The 12,807-nt window shown below is 53.3% G+C and overlaps 1 protein-coding gene across 2 annotated transcripts in view, besides 2 other annotated features; it reads right to left on the minus strand.

Annotated features, from left to right (window-relative positions):
* Nucleotides 1-12,807, minus strand: part of OLFM2 (olfactomedin 2) — an 82,798-nt gene that overhangs the window by 51,177 nt on the left and 18,814 nt on the right. The window contains exon 1 of one of the 2 annotated variants that reach the window (NM_001304347.2): nucleotides 8,589-8,907. The exons of the other annotated variant lie outside the window; for it this stretch is intronic. Coding sequence (NP_001291276.1) covers nucleotides 8,589-8,723 — 135 coding nt within the window. The 5' untranslated portion in view covers nucleotides 8,724-8,907. Of the gene's footprint in view, nucleotides 1-8,588; nucleotides 8,908-12,807 lie in introns of those variants that run through there. 2 annotated transcript variants of the gene reach the window in all.
* Nucleotides 9,652-9,751: a silencer, noted in NCBI's record as "silent region_10049". NCBI's record gives its function as "represses an Ori minimal core promoter by ATAC-STARR-seq in GM12878 lymphoblastoid cells {active_cell/tissue: GM12878}" and the evidence as "EXISTENCE:reporter gene assay evidence [ECO:0000049][PMID:35858748]".
* Nucleotides 9,772-9,861: a silencer, noted in NCBI's record as "silent region_10050". NCBI's record gives its function as "represses an Ori minimal core promoter by ATAC-STARR-seq in GM12878 lymphoblastoid cells {active_cell/tissue: GM12878}" and the evidence as "EXISTENCE:reporter gene assay evidence [ECO:0000049][PMID:35858748]".

Raw genomic sequence — 12,807 nt, forward strand, 5'->3', positions numbered from 1 at the left:
TGTAGTCCCAGCTATTTGGGAGGCTCAGGCAGGAGGATCACTTGAACACAGGACGTCGAGGCTGCAGTGAGCTATGATCATGCCATTGCACTACAGTCTGGGTGACAGAGTGAGACCCTGTCTTGGGAGGAAAAAAAAAAGTTGAGGCCAGGCACAGTAGCTCATGGCTGTAATCCCAGCACTTTGGGAGGCCAAGGCGGGTGGACTGCCTGAGCTCAGGAGTTCAAGACCAGCTTGGCCAATATGTTGAAACCCTGTCTCTACTAAAAATACAAAAAAAAGACCGGGTGCGGTGGCTCACACCTGTAATCCCAGCACTTTGGGAGGCCGAGGCGGGCAGATCATGAGGTCAGGAGATTGAGACCATCATGGCTAACACGGTGAAACCCCGTCTCTACGAAAAATACAAAAAATTAGCCGGGCGTAGTGGTGGGCGCCTGTGGTCCCAGCTACTCGGGAGGCTGAGGCAGGAGAATGGCTTGAACCCGGAAGGCGGAGCTTGCAGTGAGCCGAGATTGCGCCACTGCATTCCAGCCTGGGCAACAGAGCGAGACTCCATCTCAAAATAAAATAAAATAAAATAAAATACAAAAAAAATTATCCAGGCATGGTGGCAGGTGCCTGTAGTTCCAGTTACTCAGGAGGCTGAGGCAGGAGAATCACTGGAACCCGGGAGGTGGAGGTTGCGCCACTGCACTCCAGCATGGGCGACAGAATGAGACTCCATCTCAAAAAAAAAAAAAAAAAAGTTGGAACTCAACCTTCTTGAGCCACTAGTGCTGAAGGGGCCGGAAAGATTCAGATTGGCTCCTCTTGGAAGCTGTGGATCCTTGTCCTGTCTCTGCTGTTCTTACCAGGAGCCCCTGCCAAAAACCTACCTTGCCATGCCCTTGAGAAGAAAAGCTTTACCTGCAAGTACAGGCCTTGGCAGCCTGGCACAGGCGCTATACCCTGAGCAGCCCCAACATGTGCCATATCCTCATATGTGCTCCACAAGCCCCATCGCACCTCAACAGTCAGGCATGGCTTTGCCACGCTCAGACATTCCGCACACAAGACACGCTCTCATTCACTCCAACACGTCCCTTGGGTTCAGACACAACTGATGGCCATCAGATTCCCCTTACACGATGGGGCGTGCTTGCCATGAAGACACGCTCAAACATGCTATGACACGCTCTGACACACAGGGGCACACACACACCCAAGCATGCTTTCACGGGGACCAGGTAGGTCTCCAACCTCTGCCACAGTCTACACGCCCATGGCCACCTTGCCCTTCCAGATGGATTGATGGGGCGGCGGGGAGAAGGCTGTTATAAATTAAACATCGAGACACTGTCTGAGCACCAGGCTCTGCCATCCACTCATTGGCTGGTTCCCTCCCAGGAGGCTGCGGGCACACAGGGTGGGGGAGAGGGCAGGGGAAGTGGCTCGCTTAATTAATTAGTCCTCATTGAGATATCTTTGCAAATATCCCTTTATCGAAGGACACCATTCCATCCGTTTCCTGGGAATTTGTTGCCTCTATGTGTCTCTGGCCCCTGAGTATCGCAGAAATGACAAGACAAGAAAGAGCGCGCCCAAGAGCTGCTCAAACCTTAGCTGTGTTTCTGATCACGACAGCAGCACTGAGGGACAAGCGGGAAGGCTCAGAGATTCAGAGATCCAGGCGGAGGGGCAGAGAGATTAGGCAAGGGGAGATGCGGAAACTCAAATACAAACCGAACTGCAGAGTCAGAGATACGGACTCTGAAATGCAGGAAGAGAGAGACGCAGGCAGAGAAACTTTGCAACTGGGAGGACCAGAGTGGGGACAGATGGACGTGCGGCTGGGCAGACAAACCTCCCCTCTGCCTTTTCCCGCCTGGCTTGGCCTTCCCCATCTCCTGGGCAATCCACTCTCTGCAGCGGCAGGCAGCAGTAACAATCAGGCCTGATTCCTTTTGGCCCTAGCTACCCTCCCCTTCCCTCTCCCTCCCCCAATCACTCTTGCAATCATCTCCCTTGTTCAAAATGAGCTTCTGCAGCTGCAGCCCAGACAGCTGTTCCATCTTGGAGCCAGTACTGGGCCTGGTGGCTGGGTCCTAGAGGGACGCCCTCCTGAGTGGCAGCCGGGGAGGGGGAATGGTGCTCGGGGGCAGAGGGGGCAAGGGGTCACCCGGAGCTTGGGAGCCCACCTCCATCTCCAGTCAACACTTGGCCCCATCACCAGCATACCCAGGGGGTCCAGACACTGCCAATGCCTCTCTTTGGGGCCCTCAAGAGAGGTGGTCTGGGGCCGGGCGTGGTGGTTCACGCCTGTAATCCCAGCACTTTGGGTAGCTGAGGCGGGTGGATCACTTGAGGTCAGGATTTGAGACCAGCCTGGCTAACATGCTGAAACCCCATCTCTACTAAAAATACAAAAATTAGCTAGGCAGGGTGGCGCACACCTGTAGTCCCAGCTACTTGGGAGGCCGAGGCAGGAGAATCGCTTGAACCCGGGAGGTGATTGAGGGAGATCGCAGTGGGCCAAGACGGTGCCACTGCACTCCAGCCTGGGTGAGAGCGAGATTCTATCTCAAAATAAATGAATAAACAAACAAACAAATAAATAAATAAGAGAGGTGGTCTTGGTCATCCTGCCCTCTGTCACCAAATCCTTCCTAACATCCAACACAGGTCCTGGCCCTAGAAGCCTCTGCCGTCCAAGAATTCTAGTCTGTTTCCCAGGGTCCCCGTCAGGGTCCTATGGTGAGATGGAGATAGAATCCCAGAGGTAGAGACAGACAGACACAGAGAGACATGGAGAGACAGACATGAATGAGATAAAGAGACAGATATAGGCCGGGCATGGTGGCTTATGCCTGTAATCCCAACACTTTGGGAGGCCGAGGTGAGTGGATCACTTGAGGTCGGGAGTTGGAGACCAGCCTGGCCAACATAGCAAAACCCCATCTCTACTGAAAATACAAAAAATTAGCCAGGCCTGGTGGTGCATGCCTGTAATCCTAGCTACTTGGGAGGCTGAGGCAGGAGAATCGCTTGAATCCGGGAGGCAGAGGTTGCAGTAAGCAAAGATCGTGCCACTGCACTCCAGCTTGGGCAACAGGGTGAGACTTGATCTCAAAAAAAAATAAAATAAAATTTAAAAATTTTAAAAATCTAAAGTCCCTGAAAGATCCCCCTCCCCACGACATGATATGGCTCCCATCACCTTCCTTCCCTCACCTCCTCTCCCTCTTCCGCTCGCTCACTATGCTCCAGACATGGGCCTCCTCCCTGTTCCTCCAACATGCCAGGCGTGGTGCGATCATAGCTCACTGTAGCCTCCAACTCCTGGGCTCAAGCAATCCTCATGCTTTAGCCTCCTGAGTAGCTGGGACTACAGGTGTGCACCACCATGCCCAGCTAATTCTTTTTATTTTTCCTCTTTTTCTTTTTTTTGAGATGGAGTTTTGCTCTTGTCACCCAGGCTGGAGTGCAATGGCGCGATCTCGGCTCACTGCAACCTCTGCCTCCTGGGTTCTCCTGCCTCAGCCTCCTAAGTAGCTGGGATTACAGGTGCCTGCCATCACACCTGGCTAATTTTTTTTTTTTTTTTTTTTTTTTTTTTTTTGAGACAGAGTCTTGCTCTGTCACCCAGGCTGGAAGTGCAGTGATGCAATCTCGGCTCACTGCGAGCTCCACCTCCTGGGTTCACGCCATTCTCCTGCCTCAGCTTCCCGAGTAGCTGGGACTGCAGGCACCCGCCACCGTGCCCAGCTAATTATTGTATTTTTAGTAGAGACGGGGTTTCACCATGTTAGCCAGGATGGTCTCGATCTCCTGACCTCGTGATCTGCCCGCATCAGCCTCCCAAAGCACTGGGATTACAGGTGTGAGCCACCGGGTTTCACCATGTTGGCCAGGCTGGTCTTGAACTCCTGACCTCAGGTGATCCACCTGCCTTGGCCTCCCAAAGTGCTGGGATTACAGGTGTGAGCCACCGTGCCTGGCTAAAAATGTATTTTCTTTTGGGGTTTTGCTATGTTGTCCAGGCTGGTCTCGAACTCCTGGCCTCAAGCAATCTTCCCACCTTGACCCCTCAAAGTGCTGAGATTACACATGTGAGCCCACTGTGGTCAGCCTATTTTAATTTTTTGTAGAGACAGGATCTTGCTATGTCGCCCAGGCTGGTCTTGAACTCTTGGCCTCAAGCAATCTTCCCACCCCTGCCTTCCAAAGCTTGAGAATTATAGGCATGAGCCACAGTGCCACTCTAAGAGCCTTTTGCTGAGAACTGCTCAGCTCCTCCTTATTCGTCCCATAAAGCAAAAGGTCCCCCTCAAATAGCACACCCCTCCTCCATCTCCCCTTCCCTCTCTCCAGCCCCCCAGGCAGAGGCGACGGTCAAGGGTATAACATACAAGATTCAGGTATTTTACTTCAGGCCTCGAAATGATGTCCGTGGCTGGCAATACAGCTGACAGCTCTTAGTCTGGTCCTGGATTTATGATCCCCAGGTGAGAAGCCATTCCGCTGAAGGCTCCTGTCCCACAGGGATGGTTTATGGCTGGGAGTTGGCCAAAGGTAGTAGCGGCAGCTTCCTCCCCACGTCTTCCCAGAGATGGTCTATAACCACAGGAATGCTAAGCTGCTTCTGCAATTCAGGAGGAGGAAGCCAGAGAGAAGCAGGACCCCCAAGGCTCTACGCTCACCGCCCCACACCACTGAGTTCCTTTTTAAAGCCAAACACCAGCATCCAACCTTCCGCCTCCTGACTTTGGGAATCCATACTGCTTTGTTTCCTGAACCCCTCAGCCTCCCCGACGTTGGGGTGCTAAACCTTCCGACATCTCCTCCTAACCGAACACCTACTGTGTGCCTGGTCACTTTCCATTTGTTCTCCCCAGTCCTGAGGAAGGTGAAATGGATTTAGACACTTGAGAAATGTTTATTCCAGGCTTGGCTAGAGGGGTAAATAAAACAACCCCTCCTTACTAAACACTACTATGTGCCCGTTATTTATTTGTTTTTGTTTGAAGGAGGAATCCACAAATCCTTATGAAGGTGTGATTGTGGATTCAGTCATTGGACAAATATTTATTGTAGGCCTATGTGCGCCACACCTTAGGGTTCAGTAGTGAGCAAAACACAGATGTCTTCAAGGATCTTACCATCTCATAAAGACTCTAAATTCCCCCTGACTAATAAGGAAATCGAATCCCAGCTTCTTAGGAGGCTAAGACAGGAGAATGACTTGAGCCTAGGAGTTCCAGATGTTAGTGAGCTATGATGGCATCACTACACTCCAGCCTGGGTGACAGAGTGAGACTCTTTCTCTAAAAATAATAATATTAATAATAATAACAATAAGGAAGTTGGGGCTTAGAGAAATTAAATAATTTCCCCCAAAGTCACACAGCTAGTAAATTACAGGGCCAGAATTCAAACCCAGATATGTTTGACTCAAAAATCTTATCACTAACTGAGCATCTGCTATCTTAGGCACTGAGCTGGGGGTTTTCAAACATAAAAATTCTTGACATAGAAGAGGCACTTGATAGTCTTGTGGAATAGGCCAGGCACTGGTGGCTCATGCCTGTAATCCCAGCATTTTGGGAGGCCGAGGAGGGAGGATCCCTTGAGCCCAGGAGTTCAAGACCAGCTTGGGCAACATGGTGAGACTCCACCTCTTAAAAAAATAGTTTTGTGGAATAAATACAATGGATGGAAGGATAGATGAATGGATGGAGAGGCAGATGGATGGTGGAAGGATGGATGCACAGAGGATAGAAAAAGAGAGTTGGATAATGGATAATGCATGCATGGAGGAATTGGTGAATGCATGGATAGAGATGGATGGATAGAAGAATGGATCCATGAAAGAACAGAGAGACAAATGATGCATCATGGATAGATGAAAAGAGATGGGTGGAAGGATAAAGAGATGGATGTGTGAAAGGATGGATGTACAGATGGATGGACAGATGGAATAGTGGGTGGGTGTATGAGTGAATGGATGGAGAGAAAATGGATGGGTAGATGAAATAATTGATGGATAGATGGACAGACTGATGGAATAACAGGTGGTTGGATGAATGAATGAATGGAGATATGGATAGCAAGACAGATGGAAGGATGGGCGTAAAAACAGATGGATAGATGAAATAATAGATGGAGGGAAGGATGGATGGATGGATGAAGAGATATATGGAAGCGTGGAAGGATGGGAATTTGAACAGCAGATCTCTGTTACCCACAACAATTCTGTGAGGTAAGACATCATTCCCATTTTATAGATGAGAAAACAATAGCTCAGAGTGACAAAGGCACTGGCCAGAGTCATAGAGCAAGTTGGGGACAAAATCTAGATTCCAACATAGGTCTTTCAGACTCCCAAAATGGACACCCTCATGTCACAGTCCCCTCCCAGCCCTCACCCTGAGTACCTTAACATCTCACTTCTCAGATCCCTTTTGACAAAGTATAATGAGACTGAGGGATGGGGTGGTGTCAGGGATGGGAGGGCCATTGGCTTTCAGCAGGTGAATTCATGGAAGCATTGGATGAAGATGCTGTTAGCTACGAATGGGCCAGAGTGGAGATCAGGTCTGTTTGGGCACACACACATACACACTTACAGAAAACACACAGCACACAGGGCATCCTACCCACATGCACACAAGGCAGGCACACACACACACTTTCATAAATACACACTTGCAGTTATATGCACACACTTACAAAGACATACCTGTCCACACATATGCACACAAAGATACTTGCACACACGTTTGCACAGATACATATGCACACACAAAATCATAACTCATAGACATGCTCTTATATACTTATTTATACATTCTGCAGACACACCATATGCACACATTTACACACACCTGCATAGAACACATGTACACAGACTCACTTGCTTTCAATGGTGGTAGAGGGAAATTTGGCTTCTGATTTCAATGAGATACCATCTCTCTCCCTTCTCAGATGGCAACGGCAAGAAGCCTGTATCATACTTGTGTATAACAAACTCATATGCACACATGCAATCTTGTAACACAGGCAAACCCATAGTCAGGGACAGGCAATTGCAGATACACATGCTGATACGTCCACACCCAAGCACAGTCACTCAGGGACACACCCACACTCATTCTGGGATGCACCCTCACACACAGGAAGGCACATCGGACCCCATGCCGGCAGTGCACATAAACTTTCTCCACTCCCATTCCCCCATATACACACCGAAACACACACATATAGACACACCAGGACATACCCAAATAATAAACACTTAATGTGACAGACACACAGAAACACACCGTCTCACACATTGGCTGCCAAGTCTAAGAATCTAGCCTGAAAGCTCTCACCTGTGTCAAGCCCAATACCACCCCCACCAGGGGCTGGACAAAGCCTTCTCAGGTGTCCCCACCACCACCACACACCCTTGCCTTCGACCCTAGGGAGCAAATTCTTCTTTGCTCCCATCAAGGAGAAAGAAGCTGCGGGATGACCATTTGGGGCTAAGCAAGGGAGGGTTGGTGAAGTTGGGGCTAAAGAAAGGGAGCCCCAGGCATCGCAGCCTGGGTTTGGGGGATGATTTGGGAGGAGCCCCCCAAACAGATGGAACAGGGGTGGGGCTACCAGAGGTTGAGGAGTGGGGGGAAAGGCATATCTGGAGGAGGCCCAGGGAAGTTTGCAGTGAAGGAAACCCCTCCCCTCTCTCCTCAGGACACCACGGGGAGAACCCCACTGAGTTCTCTCCTTCTTCCCTGATCCAGGGAAGCTCTGTAGTGGGGAAGCTGGAGGATAAAGCCTCAAAGGGGGATGGGATGGGAAGGCGCCATCCTGGAGCTTCTGGAGGCAGTGTCAGCTCCGGCCCCAGTCTGCGCCCCGTCTACCTCCCAGGGAGGGTGAGTTATGGGGATAAATATTCAGCACATGGCGAGGCAAGAATGGCGGAAGGGGTGCAGGGGAGAGAAAAAGAGAGAAAAAAAGAGATACAAATTCTCAGCGCCACAGAGACAGAGACAAGGAAAGATAGAAATATTAATAGAAAGAGACCCAGAGACGCAAAGCAGGGGAAATGAATAGAGACTCAGACAGAACTACTCAGAGACGCCGAGACGCAACCAGGCAGAGACCTTGAAGGTGGAGACACTCGGAAACCCCTCGATCCTCCCCTCTTTCAGAGACAGGGTCCTTCTAAACCCCCGAGTCTCACCCTCCTCCCGCTGCACCCCACTCAGCCCGGACTCAGCTCAATTCTGCAGCCCTTGTCGCCTCCGCCCTGGGGCCGGAGCGAGCCTGGTACGCTATTCGCGCTCAGACATTGCTCACTAATAATCATAATAATCAATAATAACAGCAAGAACCATCCTAAATGGCGCGGAGGTGGCTAGGGGTCCCGGGGCTCCTTCTGCCTCCACGTCCGACCCTGGAACCCCGAGAGGGCGTCCCCTACCCAGGCGTGCCGGGCAGGGTCGTGGGAAGCACAGGGGTAGAGGGGGACAGGTGGGGGCCCCGGGGGCTGCGGCGGCGGCAGCGGCTGTGGCGCGGGTACCACGCCCCCCGGGAGCGCCCCCCGCGCGGCGGCCACTCACGATTTTCTCAGAGGCGCCCGCACGGGACACGGTGCCGTTGAGCCCCACGAGCGAGGGCAGCGTCTGCGACATCCAGTTGGTGACCATGGCCATGGTGCTCAGCACGGCCCCGATCTTGAGCAGCGGCACCGACATCGCGCCTCCGCCTCATGCCCCGCGGCCGCCCGCCGCGCGTCCCTTCTCTGGCCCGCCGCGGGGCGCTCGGTCCCTCGACACCCAGGCGCCCCGGGGGGGCGTGGGGGAGGGGGCACGAGCGCGAGCTGCGGGGCAGGGGGTCCGGGACGGGGTGAGGGGGGGCTCGGGGACGCGGGCTGCGGCTCGGCGCGCCTGGCGGGCTCCTCTTATAAAGCGCCGGCTCGGGCCCCCGCCCCCTCCCGCGCCTCCGCGCCGGGCACTTCCAGCCGCCGTGACGTCACGCCTCCGGCCCGGAGCCCGGCGGGGGGCGGGGGGCGCCCAGACTGCCCCCACCCCCCACCCCACGCCCTCGCCCGCCCCCCGCCGAGGACCTCTCCATGGGGTGGGGGACCTCCCCCTGGTGGCATTCCCCAAGCGCCCCACCACCACCGCGGTGGCATTCCCCAGCCCCGCCCCCCAACGGTATTCCCGGCCCCCCTCCCCCTAGGCGGTGTTCCCGGACCGCCTCCCGCACGCAGACCCTCTTCGAGCCTGAGCCGCGGGACCCCGCGCGTAAAGGCGCCCTCGGCCCACCCCGGCCACCCAAAGACGGCAGGGGGCCGGAGTCGCAAATCCCCACCCACCCACTGTTGGGACACCCACCCTGGCTACCTAAAACCTCGGACAGCGGGCATTGGGGGGCGTGGGGGGGCGACACGCTCGTGCGCTCCCATGAATCGGGTCACCAAGGGTCTCCTTTAGCTGGGGGAAGGGGCTTCCTTCCCGGGCACTGAGACCACTCTAAGGATCCTTCGGTCATTTCGTGCCCCCAGGGTGGCGTGATCCAGGGCCAGCAGACGAAATTGTTTGGGTGCAGGTGCGGTCCTGGGGTCACTTCGGCCACGGGAGGAGTTCCCACGACTACCAAGGGCAGTTTCCTACCCAGGGACCACGGAGACCTGGCACGCGGCTTTTAGGAGGCGAGTCCCGGGCAGGTGTCTACTTGCAACTTTAACTTTGGGTGGGGGCGGGGCACTCACGCTTCGGACCTTCCTCGCGGCCCCGGGGACCCCGCTCCCGGCCCGCTCCCTCGGGGGAGCGGGAAGCGCAGTGCCCTCGCCGCCCACCCGTCCGCCCACGCATCAGCCGGCGGCGGCAGCCGCTGGGCCGCGGAGAGGAGCGCCGGGCTAGTTTTAATTTCCTCTGTTTTGCCTGCACTCACGCCCCCTCCTGGCGTCCCCGCATCACCTCGCTCCGCCGCCGCCGTCGCCCTCAGCCCGCGGCCGCCGCCGTCTGGAGGCGGCGATGACTCAGGCCTTTCCAGGCGGCGGCCTGGGGCTGAGGGCTCTGGCTGGGGAGGAGCGCCAAGCATGAGCGGGGAGGGGGGCTAGGGGTCTCGAACCGTCTTTTTTTCTGAGCTGGACAACACCAAGATGCAAGTGTGACCTGTAGGGATGACTGTTCCTCTCTGCCTCAGTTTCCCCATCTGCAAAGTGGGTGGTGGAGACCTAACACGTGTAAAGGGCTTGGTCATCCTGAGAATCAGGTAATTTACTGAGCATCTACTATGTCCCAGGCACTGTGAACAACAGACAAAAATGCCTGCCTGTGTGAAATTGAATATTCTTTTTCTTTTCTCTCTCTTTTTTTTTTTTTTTTGGTAGAGATGGGCATCTCGCTATGTTGCCCAGGCTGGTCTCGAACCCCTGGCCTCAATCGATCCTCCCACCTTGGCCTCCCAAAGTGTTGGCATTCCAAGAATGAGCCTCCGGGTTGGATGTGAAGATGAATATTCTATGGGGTGAGACAGTCAAGAAATACGGGAAAAAAGTAAAGTACATAAGATATTAGGAGGAAGGGGAAGTAAACTTTAAACAGAGTGATTGGAGAAAGGGACTTTTTTATTTATTTATTTATTTATTTATTTATTTATTTATTTGAGACGGAGTCTTGCTCTGTCGCCCAGGCTGGAGTGCAGTGGCGTGATCTCGGCTCACTGCAAGCTCTGCCTCCCGGGTTCAGGCCATTCTCCTGCCTTAGCCTCCCGAGTAGCTGGGACTACAGGCACCCACCACCACGCCCGGCTAATTTTTTGTATTTTTTAGTAGAGACGGGGTTTCACCGTGTTAGCCAGGATGGTCTCAATCTCCTGACTTCGTGATCTGCCCACCTCGGCCTCCCAAAGTGCTGGAATTAGAGGCGTGAACCACCGCGCCTGGCGAGAAAGGGACGTTTAAGCAGAGACCTGAAGTGAGGAAGGGAACCATCTGGATATCTAGGGGAAGAGAGTTCCACGCAACAGGAACAGCAAGTGCAAAGGCCCTGGGGCAGGAGTGTTTGAGGACCAGGAAGGAGGCCAGTGTAGTTGGAGTGAGCCAGGGGGAGAATAAGGAATGATGATGTTTGTAAAATACTTTACAAGTGTCTGGGACATGGTAAGTTTTTCAAATAGTAGCTACCATTGTTGTTATTATTTGAGGCCGGGCACAGTGGCTCATGCCTATAATCCCAGCACTTTGGGAGGCCGAGGAGGGTGGATCACTTGAGGCCAGGAGTTCGAGACCAGCCTGGCCAACATGGTAAAACCCTGTCTCTACTAAAAATACAAAAGTTAGCCGGGTATGGTGGTGCACGCCTGTAATCCCAGCTACTTGGGAGGTTGAGGTGGGAGAATTGCTTGAACCCAGGAGGCAGAGGTTGCAGTGAGCCAAGATCGAGCCACTGCACTCCAGCCTGGGCGACAGACGAGTGAGACCCTGTCTAAAAGAAAAAAAAGATGAGTTCTTGCCAGCTTGTTCTAAAGCTTTCACTGATGAGTGCTGAACACTTTGCAGATGCAATGTTAACAACTGCTGCAACATCCATAAACAGTACAGTGACACCCCTATTTCCAGGTGAGGAAACTGAGCTCAGAGAGGAGAGGGACCCAGATCAGGGGAACCCAGCAGGGAAGTGGGGGCCCAGGTTTTGAAACCAGGACTGTCTGATTTCAGACCCTAAGACCAACTGGGCTCCAGGCCTCCTGGCTTAGACAATTTGGGACCCAAACAAACTTTCTCACTCTCTGGCCATGGGTGCTGTGGGAAACTGCCTTAGTTCAGCGCATCCAGGCTTCTCCAAGGAGTGGTCTGTGCTCGAGTTTGCACTTGCTTGCATTTAACTCCTTGCCTCCCACCTCCCCAACGTTTCCAAAACTCTTCTCACCAAAGGTGCCAATTTGCCAGGTCCACACCCTCATGCCAGTCCTCATTAGATCATTCTCACAGTCAGTCAGTCCCCACTCACCATCACCTTCTTGAAACTCCTTTTTCCCTTGACTTCAGAGACACGGTATCACTTCCTAGTTCTGCACCCACCTCTCTGGCTGTGCCGTCGCTGTCTCCTGCTACTCCCTAAAACTCTGTATCTTTCAGGGCTTTGTCCTGGGTTCCCTGCCGCTCTCATTCTGCCTGGACCATCACACCCACTCTCAAGGTTTTGGCTCCATCTGGGACACTGCAACCTCAGGACCTTTGAACTTCCTGTTCCTTCTACACAAAATACATCAAGGATGCCCCCCATGGCTTGTTCCTTTACTTAATTAATGTATTTTTTAGAGACAGAGTCTTGCTCTGTCACCCAGGCTGGAGTGCAGTGGTTCAATCATAGCTCATTGCAGCCTCTAACTCCTAGGCTCAAGCTATTCTCCTGCCTCAGCCTCCCAAGTAGCTGGGACTACAGATGCGAGCCACCATTCCCGGTCCTTTATTTAATTTATATCTCTGCTCTGTCATTGTGTGGGTCAGAGCCATGCCCTGCCCTTCCCCCAGAAAACTACATTTCCCAGATTCCATTGCATACTGGCTTCCTGGTCGGTTTATCCAATGGGAGCCACTGGAGGGAGATCGGAGATTGGAGAGGAAGGCAGAAGCCAGGGTGTTTCTCTCCTGTGTCTGCTTGGGGTGGAGGGTGTTTTCTGACAGTGGCTACACCTCCTCCATAGTGCCAGTTCCTCCCCAAGGGTCCCTTCCTTATCACATCCTCTCTTTGCCATGTCCCTCCAGTAGCTTTCTGCTGTAGCTTATGCCAGATTTCCTCATCATCCCATGTGGCTTCTCAACTCTTT

The sequence above is a fragment of the Homo sapiens genome, chromosome 19, assembly GCF_000001405.40.
Source record: "Homo sapiens chromosome 19, GRCh38.p14 Primary Assembly".
Taxonomy (NCBI): Eukaryota; Metazoa; Chordata; class Mammalia; order Primates; family Hominidae; genus Homo; species Homo sapiens.